Raw genomic sequence first — 15,036 nt, 5'->3', positions numbered from 1 at the left:
TTTGGTGTTAAAGAGCATGAACTAAGTCATTATTATTAATAAACAATAAAAGTTTATATTCGAAATGTCTATAGATAGTCACATAATTTTTTTCTTTTCTTTTTTTTTTTTGAGACAGAGTCTCACTCTGTCGCCCAGGCTGGAGTACAGCGGCGCGATCTTGGCTCACTGCAAGCTCCGCCTCCCGGGTTTACACCATTCTCCTGACTCAGCCTTCCGAGGAGCTGGGACTACGAGCGCCCACCACCACGCCCGGCTAATTTTTTTGTATTTTTCGTAGAAACGGGGTTTCACTGTGTTAGCCAGGATGATCTTGATCTCCTGACCTCGTGATCCGCCCACCTCGGCCTCCCAAAGTGCTGGGATTACAGGCGTGAGCCACCGCACCCGGCATCATGTAATTTTTCATCCCACCATTGAAAGCCATTGTTTCCGTATTCCTCAACACACACATTCAGTAAGGATGCATTTCTGCCTCATTAAAAACAGAAAAGGTGAGGCAGAGCAAGATGAAGTGATTTGGACAGTAGAAAGTCAGCATTCAATTGAGAAAGCCCCTTAAATAAGGAGTTTGACATTCCTTGTTATTGAACTGATAAGGAAAACAAATTTTGTCTGATTGGCCCTCAGCGGACTTTAGAATTAGAGTGAACCAAGTAAAACCAGTGCAAGAAATAGGATCAGGTGATAGAGGCCAAGTCAGGCAACAGGTGTGGACAGTCAGATGGAAAAAGCTCCTACAACACCTACTTCATGAGGCCATGATGATTAAACCACACAGTGCATATAAAAGCCCTCAGCAAAGTGCTAAGTGTGATCTATAAACATCAGACAGGACACAGACAAATAAGGATTGGATAGCTAGTTAATCAAATGCAGGTCTAGAGCTGGTTCTAGCATACAGGAAACTAAGAGTTTCTTTTTAAAATTTATATATCGTAAAATTCATGAATCTTCAGTGTACAAAAAATTAGTTTTGATAAATGCACACAGCTGTGTAACTAACACCTGCATCAAGACTATAAAGCATTTTCATCACTCCAAAAAATTCTCATGCACTCCCTACCAGTTAATCCCCACAACCAACCATTTGTTCTAATTTGTATTATATCTCAGTTTTGCTACTTCTTGAACTTCATTTGAGTGGAATTATATCATATGTACCCTTTCATATAATACTGACGTTTTCACTTAACATAAAGTTTTTTGTGATGTCATTGCATATATAGCAGTTAGCGTTTTTTATTGCTGAGTAGTACTCTATTTTATTACTGTGACATTTGTTTATGCATACTCAAAGGGACACTGGGTTGTTTCTATTTTGAGACTATTATGAATAAAGCCACTAAATATTTTTGTACAATTCTTTTTTTGGACATAGGCTTTTATTTATCTTAGGTAAATACCTAGCATTGGAATTGCTGGGTCATATATTTATTTCAGAGACTGGCACAGAAGTTGTACAGAGTGGTCGTACTATTTTACACTCCCTCCCACATTGAATGACTATTCAAGTTAATTTATATACTTGCCGACATTTTCAATTATTAGTCTTCTTTATTTTAGCCATCCTGGTGGGCATGAAATTATTTAATTTGCATCTCTCTGTCACCTGATGATGTTGGGTATCTATGCATGCCCTCATTGACCATTGGTATATCTTCTTTTGTAAATTATCCCAGTCTCTTACCCATTTTTAATTTTTTTTATATATTATGGAGTTTTAGGAGTTCTTTATATATTCTGGATACAAGTCCAGATGGTAGATATATGTGTTAAGACTATTTCTCCCAATTGTACTAGCTTGTCATTACTTTCTTAGCATGTATTTTGACAAGCAAACATTTTTAAAATTTGGTAAAATTTATTAGTTTTTAATTTCATCTTCAGTACCTTCTATTTTGTCTATGAAACTTTGTCTGGCACAAGATGTTGAAGATATTTGTCTATGTATTCTTCTACAACCGTCATAGTTTTAGTTTTACCTTTAAGCCTTGATCCAATTTAAATCAATTATTGTGTGGGTTATGAAGCAGTAATCAAGGATTATTTGTTTTGATACATGTATCCAGTTGCTCCAGCCCCACAGCTATAAAAGCATGGCCCATCCCCATTAAACTACATTGGTACTTTTGTTGAAAATCACTTGAATGTATAATTATGGACCTATTTCTGGACTCCCTGTTCTGTTACATTGATCATTTATCTATCTTTATTCCAGTACTATATTGTCTTAATTACAATAGCTTATATTAAGAGTTAATATCCGGTATTTTGAGTCCTCCAACTTTGTTATTTTTCATAATTGTTTTGGCTATTCTTAGTTCTTGTCATTTCCATATAAATTGTGGAATCAACTTGTCCATTTCTATTTAAAAAGTTGGCTGAGATTTTCAGAGAGATAATATTAAATCTATTAGTCTTCCAATCCATGAATATGGTAAGGCTCCTTTATTTATTTGAAGTGTCTTAAGTTTCACTCAGCAAAGTTTTATAAATTTCAGTGTAAAGAGGCCTTAGATATCCCGTTGTTACATTCATTCCTAACATGTTTATTTTTATTGATTCTTTAGAAAATAAAATTTTTTAAATTGAATTTTTAAATTGTTTGCAGTTAATATATAGAAATACAATTTATTATTTATATTGACCATGTATCCTGAGAATTTGCTAAACATATTTGTAAGTTGTAATCATATTTTGTTTTTGCTGATATTTTGTTTGCTTGTATGTTTGGGGCTTGGCTTTTTTTTTTTCTGGTAGATTTCGTGGTAAGGTGTTCTATGTGGACAATTGGTGAATAGATTCATTTTTACATCTTCCTTTAAAATCTGTATACTGTTAATTTTTTTCTTTACTTATTGCACTGGCTACACCTTCCAGTACAATGTTAAGCAAAAAAGGTGAGAGCAGAAAAACTACACTTGTTCCCAATTTTTAAAATCAAATGTTTCACGTTTTTCCATTAAGTATGGAGTTAGCTGTAGTTGTAGTTTTGTGTAGATGTCTTTTATTTGATTAAGGGAATTCCCTTCTATTCCTAACTCCTGAATTGATGTTTAATTTGATCAAATACTTTGTTCTGTGTATTTTGAGATACTCAATTTTATTTTTTTATGTGGTCAAGATGTAAATTACGTTAATTGATTTTTAAATGTTAAACTAATCTTATATTCCTGGGATAAATCTCATTGATCATCATGTATGATCTTCTTTATACATCATTTGAGTCAAGTTGCTATATTTCGTCAAGGGCTTTTGTGGAATTTCCATACACAATATTAGTTCCATAATTTTTTGGTAATATCTTTATCATGTTTTAGTCTCAAGGTTGTGGTATCCTCATAAAATGAGTTGTGAAGTGTCCTCATCTCAGTTTTCCAAAAGAGTTTGGTAAGTTTGATATTACTTTTTTCTTAAATGTTTTATAAAACTCAGCAGTGAAAATATCTGGGCCTGTACAGTTGACTCTTAAACAATTTGGGGGTTAGGAGTGCCACCTGCCTCATGCAGTAGAAAATCCACATATAACTTTTGACTCCCCAAAACTTAACTACTAATAGCCTACCATTGACTGGAAGGCTTACCAACAACATGAACAGCTAATTAACATTTTTTATATGGTATATGTATTACCTACTGTATTCTTACAATAAAATAATATAAAGAAAAGAAAGTGTTGTTAAGAAAATCATAAGGAATAAAAATATATATACTATTCATTAAGCGGAAGTGGATCATCATCAAAGTCTTTGTTGTCTTCATGTTGAGTAGCCTGAGGAAGAGGGGGAAGAGGAACGGTTGTTATTGCTATCTCATTGGTAACAGAAGCAAAAGAAAATATTTGTACAAGTGGACTGACACAATTCAAACCTGTATTGTTCAAGAGTCAACCGCATTTTTCTTTGTGGGAATTTTATTATCCATTGTTTTTCTTTAACATTAAAGGGCTATCAGATTTTTTTTTCTTGTGTTGGTTTTGGCATGTTGTGCTTTTAAAGAATTTGTCTACTTCACTTAAGTTGTTAAATTTATTGGCATAACTTTATAATATTCCCTTATTATATTTTAATATCTATGCTATCTGTAGTGACATCCTGTTTTTTATTACTTCCGTTGGTAATATGTGTTTCTTTCCTTAATACATTGATTTAGAGGTTTACAGGTTGAGAATTCCTAATTTGAAAATCTGAACTCTGAAATGCTCCAAAATCCAAACCTTTTTGAGTGCATGATGCCACAAGTGGAAATTCCACACCTGACCTAAGGTGATGAATCTCAGTCAAAATGCAGGTACAAAACACACAGTTTATTCAACATCCCCAGGGGAAAAAGACTTTCCCAGCCCCTTCAGCTGCAATAAATTTGGGTCTCATCCCCAATACATCTCATTATGTATATGCAAATATTTAAAAATCCAAAATAGTTCTGGTCCCAAGCATTTCAGATAAGGGATATTTAACCTGTAATAAATATTAATGTTTTCAAATAAGCAACTTTTTACTTTCTTGATTTTTCTCTATTATTTGTCCATTTTCTATTTCATTGATTTTACTCTTACCTCTATTGTTTCCTTCTTGAACTTTGTGTTTAACCTGCTCTTCTTTTTATATTTTTCAAGAGGAAATTTGAAGCATTGATTTTAAGCCTTTTTTCTTTTCTTTTATAAGCTTTGAAAGCTATAAGTTCCCCTTTAATAACTTCTTTAGCTCCATTCAAAATTTTGATGTATTGTATTTTTCTTATCATCTGGTTAAAATATTTTATAATTACCCTTGTGATTTCTATTTTGACTCATGTTTTATTTAGAAGTGATTTTTTCCAAGTCTTTAGGGTTTTTCTAGCTATCTATTGTTATGAAATGCTAATTTAATTTTTCTGTGGACAGAGAACATATTCTATAATTTTTTATCTTTCAAAATATATTAAGGCTTGTTTTATGACCTAGAAGATGGTCTATTTTAGTGAACATTCGATTGAATGTTGCAACTGTAAAGAATGACTATTTTGCATTGTTGTATATAATGCTCTATAAGTGTCAAATAGGTTGAGTTGGTTGATAATGTTATTTATCATTTTACAATTTGTCTATTTGTTTTATCAGTTACTTAGATACATTAAAATCTCTAGTTATAATTTGACATTTTCAATTTCACTCTTTAGTTCTGTCCATTCTTGCTTTATGCATTTTTAAGCTGTATTGGACTCATACACATTAAGGGTTCCTATGTCTTCCTGATGAATTAATCTGTTATTGTAAAATGTTTTTCTCTATTTCTGGTAACATTTCTTATCTTGAAGTCTACTCTGTCTGATATACTTAAATAGCCACTCTCATCTTAATATGTTTAATGTGACATGGCATATCTTTTCTTATCCTTTGACTAAACTTATTTATGCTTCTAGATGTAAAGTATGTCTCTTGTATAGAACATATTATTAGGTTTTGTTTTTTGTCCATTCTGATAATCTCTGACTTTTAATCCAAATATTTAATCAATTTATATTTAATGTAATTATTTACATGGTTGGTTTTAACTGTACTGTTTTTCTATTTGCTTTCTTTTTGTCTTATTTGTTTTTTCTCTGTTCCTTCTTTTCTGCCCTTCTGGGTTAACAGAATTTTTTAAATAGTACCCTTTATCTTATCCGTGAGATTTTTAGCCCTAACGCTCTGTATTATTTTTAATGGTTGCTTGAGGGATTACAATATGTATCCCCAGTTCCCCATAGTCTACCTAGAGTTATTATACCACATCATGGAAAATGAAAAAAAAAAACTTTAAACCTTATAATTCCCCCTCCCAACCCTGATTCCCTGGTTTTGTTATCATACATAAGATATACGTAACTCCACAAAACAATGTAATGGGTTTTGCTCTACACAGTCAGTTTTATTGTAAAAAGAGAATAACAGCCTTTTGTATTTTTGTTGCATATACTATTAAGTTGTGCTGTTTCTTCCTGTAGATCAGTTGCATCTTGTATCCTGTCGTGAAATTCCTTTAGCATTTCTCGTAGTGCAGATCTGCTGGCAATGCATTTTCCCAGCTTCCATATATCTGAAAATATCTTGATTTCATCTTCATTTTTGACAAGTGTTTCTACTGGATATAGAATTCTGAATTGACATTTTTAGGTACATTAAAAATGCCATTCCACGTCTACTATTAAAAAGTCAAAAACAACAGATGCTGGCAAGGCTGCAGAGGAAAGGGAACACTTATACACTTTGGGTGGAACTGTAAATGAGTTCAGCCACTGTAGAAAGCAGTTTGGAGATTTCTCAAAGAACTTAAAATATAATTACCATTCAACCCAGCAATCCCATTACTGGGTATATATCCAAAGGAAAATAAATCATTCTGTCAAAAAGACACATGCACTTGTATGTTCATCACAGCACTATTTACAATAGCAAATACATGGAATCAACCTAGGTGCCCATCAACGGTGGATTGGATAAAGAAAATGTGGTACATATGCACCATGGAATACTATGCAGTCATAAAAAAGAATGAAGTCATGTCTTTGCAGCAACGTGGATGCAGCTGGAGGCCATTATCCTAAGTGAATTAATGCAGGAAAAGATAATGAAATACTGCATGTTCTCATATATAAGTGGAAGCTAAACACTGAGCACACGTAGACGTAAAGATGGGAACAACAAACACTGGGGACTACTAGAGGGGGTAGAGGGTGTTGAAAAACTAACTCTTAGGTACTCTGCTTATTACTTGAGTGATGAGATCAATTGTACCACAAACCTCAGCATTACGCAATATACCCATGTAGCAAACCTTCCCATGTGCCCCCTAAATCTAAAATAAAAGTTGAAATTATTAAAAAATTAAAAATAAAAATACTATTTGATCAAGGTTCTAAAAAATGTCATTCCATTGGCTTCTAGTCCCCATTGTTTCTAATAAGAATCCAATCATAATCATACAGTTGTTTACCCATAGGCAATGTGTCTTTTATCTCTCATTGCTTTGAAGAGTTTTTCTTTTTCATTTATTTTCAGTAATATTCCACATGTGCCTCTATATAGTTTTATTTGTATTTATTCTATGTAAATTATTGCTGAGATTCTTGTTTCTAAACTGATATTTTTCAACAAATTTTTAAAGTTTTTGGCCAAACTTGGACTACAGCAGTTTGGGTTCTGCCTTATTGATAACCAGAAAAGGGAGTGTCCTTTAGGGAAAAGCCTCTGTTTTTTTTCCGGAAATTGAATTACAAGTATGTGAGACTGTTTAATATTGTCTCACAGATTAGAAGAGCCTTGGATTGTTTTTCAATAATTTTTCTCTCTGTTTTTCACATTTGATAATTTTCGTTGATCTATCTCCAAGTGTGGTGACCCTTTCTTTATCTCTCTCCACTCTGCAATTAAGCCCATCCAGTAAATTTTTTATTTCAGATATTGTGGGTTTTGTGTTTTTAATTTTCTATTTGGTTAGTTTTGTCAATTATGCTTTTCTACTTGAATTTCCTTGTCTCTTAAACCATTATGACCTTCTCTTTAGATCCTTATCGTATTTAAAATAGCAACTTCAAAGTCCCTGTCTTCTAATTCCAAATTCTTGGTCATGATTGAGCCTGTTTCTATGGACTGCTTTTTTTTCCCCTCAACAATGAATCATATATGTCTTTGCATATCTTATCGTTGCTATTATATATTGGAGATTTTAGATAAAACATTTCAGACACTGAATTCTATTTTCTTCTTGTAAAGAGTATTGACTTGTATTCAAACAGGCAGTGGGATTACTGGCTTATCACTTTGAACTTGCGGAGGCTTGGTTTACTTTACCAAGGTGCTCTAATTTGGTGGGATTCAAACATCAACCTTTTCTCATCTGTGACATCTAGCTGCTAAAATCCCTCATAAATCCTTTTTGCTCTCTATCTGTGGTTTTCTGCTGAGTTCCTTGGAGCTTGGAGTCCTCTAAAAGCATTCTGTAGGGTTCAGCCAAGTATTTTAGGGAAATTATATTCAGATTTGAGGGCTCCATTTACTCCAGGAGTTTCCTCTTTAATTACCAGTCTCTCTTGCACTTCCAAACTCTGCCACTGACACTTCAAGCTGAGAAAAATGCAGCTTTCTCCTTGAGTTCTGGCTTCTTTGCAGGCCACACTCAATGGGATGTCCTCAGGAGAAAGATGCTTGTAAATATGGACTGCACTCTAAGCACTTGCCCTCTTTTAAGGCAGAAATACCTTCAGTTGCTGCCTGCTTAGGGTTGCCCTCCATGCCTTTAAATAGGTGTGTGTGTGTGTGTGTGCGCGCGCGTGTGTGGTGTGTTCATTTTGTTCAGTGTTTATAATTGTTATCTACTGAAGAGTTTTTCTAACAATCTATTCACCATTGTTGACCAGCAATTTCCTTTTAATATTATTCATATTATGGCAATAAATTGGTGAAACAAATGTACAGTATTGCGTTCTCTTGTATCTAACATACAGTAACCTTTATATTCTCGCAAAAGCTTGGAGTGGGTGAGATCAAGGGGCAGTGGTAATAAACATATTATGACTTTCAAAATAAGGAGATTTATGAATGTAGTAACACAAGTCGGGTATAGTTTGTTCTGCTGGCTTGTTTTTCAAATAAGAATATTTGAACATTACTGTGTTCAAACACTTTCTCCTGCCAAGCCAACATAATCAAACAAATAGATTAAGAAGGTGAAAGAGAACTCAGGGGTATTCTAAGGGAAACTATTATAAATAACACTCCTATGCATAAACACTGTTAAACAAATAAAAATCATCTCTCAGGGAAATAGTGCTGGTCCCCAATATTAATTTAGTCCCCTCTGCCTGCATATAAGGTTATTTCCTTCTCTTTAAGGTATTCAAATTATTGCTCCCTCTGCTACCTTTGGTAATATATTCTACTTGTCAGAAGTAGGCTGATGCAGCAATGAGACAGAGAGATAGGGAAAGCCTGGGGTTTGAGCTTAGGAACAAGGTCCCAGGCTAATTACTCTTAGAAAGGAGTTGCAGGAATTTGAGTCATAAGGTGAGATCATCACCAGAGGGCCATCATCCCACAGCACAGGAAAGGTAGAAGGCAGAAAATACCCACAATCTCTTCAAGATGAAGAGACGTATCAAACACAAATAGCTAATGAAGTTTTTTTTTTGCTGGCAGTAAGGGGCACAAATGAGAGTATGATCATGGAGGAATTTCATATCAAAATAGAGACGGTATAACGCAGGACACATATCCCAAATGCATTTTTTACAGTGAAAGTAAAATTGTTTCAGATCTCCTGCTTTTGAATCCCAAGTCCATCATCCTTCAATCATATGATCTGGGGAAAATGCCTTAATGTCCCTGTGTTCCATTGCAACATCTGGGAAAATAAGTGCAGTGACTGAGTCAGATCTCGTCAGCCCCAGATGTCTCAATTCACTGATAGGTGCCCAAGTCTCCCCACAATTTGGCCTTTTCAGTTCCACTCTGCTCATTTCAGATTCTCCTTTATCTGTTACTGCTTCCTTTTATTTCACTCCTTCCAGCTTCAGCTCCTACTCTCTCCTGAATTGTACTTCAATATTTCCAATTCCTTATTAAAATCTGTCTTAGATCGACGTTCACCCCAATCTACATGCCTTCACTCCAAACACTGCCCTCAAAAAGCCTTTGGTCCAGGTGAAACTTCCTAGATTCCAACAAATGTTTCATATCTATTTGTGTAAGAAACCACGTACTCCTGCTATAAGCCCTTTGGCAGCAGTATACATAAGCATTCCATATTACTACTTTGCTAAAGGCAATATAAAAAAAAAAGACCTTAAAAACACAAATTAAGGAAAATAAACACAAAAGTGTCTTTTGAAAACTTACAAAACCTGTTCAGTAGAGCAGGCACTTTTAATTGGAAATGCTGCAAGACTGCAGGAGCAGCAAAATGTGATTCCTTCAAACATAATAGAATGTGCTGATTCACAGGCAGGAGGAATAACACCCAGAATCTGCCTATCTGCCACAGCAGTTCTGACCCTTCCAGCTCTGTTTAAGAAAGATTAACCTTAATGGGAGCCTTATACCCACGCTTGGACTCTTCCAGAGGAAAAATATGAGCATATGACTTTTCAGTTTGCAAAATAATCATGTGATTCTCCTTTAGTGGCAAATAACGTAGTGTCCTCTGTCCCTAAAAATTCTTCTTGTCCTTCTAGGATCATGGGGATCTCTGAGGGTTCTACCTTTACTTAAAATCCTTCAGACCTGCAATAAATAATTTGAAATGTTTAAAACACCATCATAAAAAATATACATTTGGGTTTGTTTTGCCCACGAGAAAATAAAGGGGGAGTGACTGTTATCAAGTAAAATCAAAGAAAATGTCTTGTCCCTCAGGCCTAGGTCTAAATTGCTCAGGTGTCCTGTGGCCTACATGAGCTTGTTTCTGGGAATGACATTTGAGCACAGATAGACAAAGTCACTGCCTATTCATAACAGGTGTAGAACCCACAAGTGCAGCTTTTACAAGGCAAGTCATCCTCAGGTCATCCTTAGGATTTTCACAAGGTGAGCTAACCTCCTGGCATAAACAGCCATTTTTAATTTAAATTTTTTATTGCACGCTTTTCATCTAATGAGTCACATGGAAAATGAGAAGGCCCACTATGCATCTGTGACCTAAAAGACTATATAAATAGTAAATGTATTATTTTCATGTTTCCAATAAAAAGGAAACCCATTTTCTTTTGTTAATATGCAATACGTTTTAATTAACTATAGTCATTTTGTTGTGCAATAGAACCCCAGAACTTATTGCTCCTAACTATAAATTTGTACTTGTTGACCAGCATCTCCTCTTTCTACATATTCCATATTCCACGCAACTCCCCAATCCCCTGCCCCTACCACCCCTGGAACCACTGTTCTACTCTCTGCTTCTATCAGTTTGACTTTTTTTTAGCTTCCACACGTAAGTGAGAACATACAGTATTCATGTCTCTGTGCCTGGCTTGTTTCACTTAACATAATGTCCTCTAGGTTCATCCATGTTGTTGCAAATGACAGAATTTCCTGATTTTTAAAGGCCGAATAGGATTCCATTGTGTATACAAATCACATTTGCAAAATCTGTTCATCCATTGTTGCATACTTAGGCTGAGGAAACCCATTTTCTATGGGGCAAGTATTTGTTCTTGCCTCTGAAACCTGCCTTTGTGGATCCAGATACAAATATCAGACAAAACGTACTTCAGTTTTGGTAGTTGCTAACAGTGGTTTAAGAATATTCCTGGATATTGGCCAGGCACGGTGGCTCACGCCTGTAATCCCAGCACTTTGGGAGGCCGAAGTGGGCGGATCACAAGGTCAGGAGATCGAGAACATCCTGGCTAACACGGTGAAACCCTGTGTCCACTAAAAATACAAAAATAAAATTAGCCGGGCGTGGTGGCGGGCGCTTGTAGTCCCAGCTACTCGGGAGGCTGAGGCAGGAGAATGGCGTGAAGCCGGGAGGCGGAGCTTGCAGTGAGCCGAGATCACGCCACTGCACTCCAGCCTGGGCGACAGAGGGAGACTCCTTCTCAAAAAGACAAAAAAGAATATTCCTGGATATAATCAAAATAACAAACATAATGTCTTATCCCAAACAACTCTCCTTGCCCTGCCATATAAATCCATTAAAAGTGAGAATTTTACAAAGTTCTCACACTTTAGTAAGGTAAAAAAAAAAAAAAAATCAAATTTTTAAAAATTGTTTACTGGCTGTCTATAAAGTAAAAGACACTAGGATAGGCATGGTGAGACATAACACAAGGAAGATATAGCCTTTTCTCTTAAGGGATTTATCAACATTTCACCAATATCAAAATATAAGTCATCTTCAAAAGATGAGAATTTTTCATCAAGACTGGTACATTTTTTTAAATGTGTTGTTGGCTTTAGATAAAATCCTCTAAGACTATTCCAAACAACAATGAAGCAAGTAATCATAATTTAGAAGCAGTAACACCTATTTGGATGCTCAAACTATATAACTGTATATTTGAAACTGAATAAATGTTTATTAAAAACCTATCACATTATATTGTATCGTTGATTTATGTTGAATTAATTACACTATTTCCTGCAATCCCTAAACTTCAGATCAAATTCATGGGATTTTAATGGGTATTTCAATACATCTTTAGTTTACATTCATATTTATTTCCCATTTCAGTATTTCAAATTCAACAGAGTCATTGGGATGTATCTATTGATTTTGTGAAAAAGACTTAGCTCTGGGTCCTTATCCCAATTCTGATGCTGTAACTGGCAAGGTGAACATGGGTTCAGTTATCTAGCCGCTCTGAGCTGTTTTCTCTGTAAAAAGGATGATGTATGCAATTTCCCTGGCACATGATACATTATAACTATTGTGAATCAAAAAAATCACTCATCTTTGTTGAGAATCTGGCAGTGCCGTGGGGTGACCGTTCTGAAGATCAGTGCTTACCAGATTCAAAAAATCATTTTAGTGTTTGAAAGGGATAGGATCAACCTTATTCTACAGACGAGGACTTTGATAGATACAGGAGGGAAGTCACTTGCCCAGTGCCACTTAGATAGTGGTAGACCTTCAATCCAGTCTTGGCACCTTGTCTAGTCCCTTTTGTACAGTATGGCAGATATATCTGTAAAATTATAGATAAGTAGACTGACTTTATAATGATCTTTGATATCTTCAAATTAGGAGTTTTCCTGTTCTAACACATCTCTAATAAGAGATAGTTGCTAGAACTTTGAATTTAGGCAGAAAAATGGGTAGTAATCATTAGGCCATAGGCCTTATTTTCCTCCACTATAACAAAAGAAAGGATTTTTAACTTTATAAGTTTGTTTAATCATCACTTAGCTATTCTTCTAAAAGAGAAAAAGCAGACTAAAAAATGGATAATTGAAAGTTCCAGTTAACTGGGTCTCAGTTAATCTAGATTTTTATTATTTCTAAACCATTCCACTACAAACTCTGATTGGTATAATTGATTTAGAGCCTGTTCCATATGATGCCTTCTATTCTCTAAGCTGAGTTGACCCCAAAAAGAAGAACCCTTTGAATTCAATCTGAGAACTATACTCAGTTCTGAGAATGAAGATGGCATTTTAGACTCCTGTGTTTGTGAGCTGGTGCCTTTTCCTATATTTTTATTTTTAAAAATCCAATTTGAGTTTTTTGCCTCATGTCCTCATCTTAGGCACCATAAAAAAAAGTGAGTGAAAGAAAATCTTTCCCATAGAAATTCTCACACATAATGATGCCAACAGGCCTTTCATTTTACTGGTTGCCTGGCTGACTAGTATATTGGAAATAAGTGAAGATGGGAAAATAACAAGGAACTAGTTTCTGCTGAGGGGAACAAATTCTACAGTTATGAAGTTGTAAGGAAAAGCACAATGAAAAATAATCTCAGTATCGCAGAATAAAGCAATTCTCAGCAGTAAAGTAGTAACAAAAGAAATGGAAATCTTAGGAAACACTCAAAATGGGCAGTAATAGCACAAAAGCATTACAATGTTTCAAATTGCAAGGTGAATCGAATGACTGAGAGACTGTCTTGAGCACACTTGAGATTAGTTCTCAGATGTATTTTATTCGGTTTTCCTTTTTTCTTTTCTGAGAGATTATCTCATCTATTTAGGCCTTCTTCCTTTAGGTCACAGAAACAGGGAAAGGCACTTAAGATATTCATTAATTAAGACACCATTTGTAGCTCTACTGTGAAGGATAATCACTTGTTGGCTTAAGATGGTAACTTACAACTTAAAGTATTTACATGGCAATTTCTCTACTGTGAAGTTAAAGGCTCTAATTCAAACTGATGACAGGAACTAGTTAGGGATTTTAAAAGAAGCAAATACTTTTCAAATTTAAGCAGAAGGATAAGAAAAATATTTGATTAATTAATGGACTGCCACAAGGGGCAATTCTTCCTGACTTCATATATTCTACATTAGTTGTTCTTTATAAAACAAAGAGTATATTGTAGTTCATGTGATTTTCAAAGAATTATAGAGTCAAGTATAGACCTAACATAAATTCTTCCTATATACACAAAAACTCAATAGCAACAACATAACAGTAATAGAGACTTTTTCCTAGATTTTTAAGATATCAAAAACGTTCTTCAATAACACATTAATCAAAGGTACTCTAATGGCATCTCATGAGCTAAGTAGGTGTCAAGGATCATCTTTCTTTTATCATGAGAAAATAAAGCAGAACTGGTTCTGTGATTTAGCCAAGAACAAATGTCAGTAAGCAAACAATCTCAAAATCAGAGCCTTTCAAGTCTCAATTGACCGTCTCAACCCAGAGGGTGAATTCTCCGAGTATTATGTGAGAAAACATCATGAAAACACTAAGGCTCAAGATTTGTGAGCTCTCAGTTTAGTTCTGTTGTTTGTTTTTTTGTTTTGTTTTGTTTTGTTTTTCGTTGTTTTATTTATTTATTTATTTTTGGTCACGGCACCTTTTGTTCTCACATACAAAATTGAATATTCATCTTAGAACATCATCTGAAAGGCCTAATTAAAAGTTGATGATTTGCAAGATAACCTAAATGTGACTTACTTATACCTTACATTAGTCTTACAATTGATTTCTTTCTCCACTATTAGTACATATTTATCTGTTGTAAGCAAATGTAAGGAAGGCGTTTTTGAAGTAAGCCTGTGAAAAGAATTGCATACCTCCTGGAAAGCAATCCACATGCATCAACTCTTTCCTCTTTGCAGATTGCTGTGCTCTAAAATCCCATTCAGAGGAATCATTTGTGCTTCTGACATTAATGGTAAGACAGGCTCAAGCCTTTATAAATGAAGAAAATAGCTATGAGGATTTTGTCCGTGTAGTATTGTAGCTATTACAGATTTTCAATTAACCTTTGTGTCTGCTTGGCAAATACTATAATGGTCAGACTCCAGTGCCATAGACTATGTCACAGTGCACAAGATACAGCTAAAGATTTAGCTAAGGCTTGAAGGCAATTTCTGCAAAGAAAAGATAGAAAAATCATCCTAAT

The 15,036-nt window shown here is 34.8% G+C and overlaps 1 long non-coding RNA gene across 1 annotated transcript in view, besides 1 other annotated feature; it reads right to left on the bottom strand.

Moving 5' to 3' along the window:
- LOC105377975 (uncharacterized) overlaps positions 1-15,036 on the bottom strand; it is a 295,277-nt gene that overhangs the window by 207,575 nt on the left and 72,666 nt on the right. The window lies entirely within an intron of this gene.
- Positions 14,475-14,976: an enhancer, noted in NCBI's record as "NANOG hESC enhancer chr6:119943697-119944198 (GRCh37/hg19 assembly coordinates)". NCBI's record gives its function as "activates a minimal SCP1, AML or CMV promoter by ChIP-STARR-seq in naive H9 embryonic stem cells {active_cell/tissue: H9 hESC(naive)}" and the evidence as "EXISTENCE:reporter gene assay evidence [ECO:0000049][PMID:30033119]".

Source organism: Homo sapiens, chromosome 6 (assembly GCF_000001405.40).
Source record: "Homo sapiens chromosome 6, GRCh38.p14 Primary Assembly".
Classification (NCBI taxonomy): Eukaryota; Metazoa; Chordata; class Mammalia; order Primates; family Hominidae; genus Homo; species Homo sapiens.
This window is presented reverse-complemented; position numbering and strand designations above follow the sequence as displayed.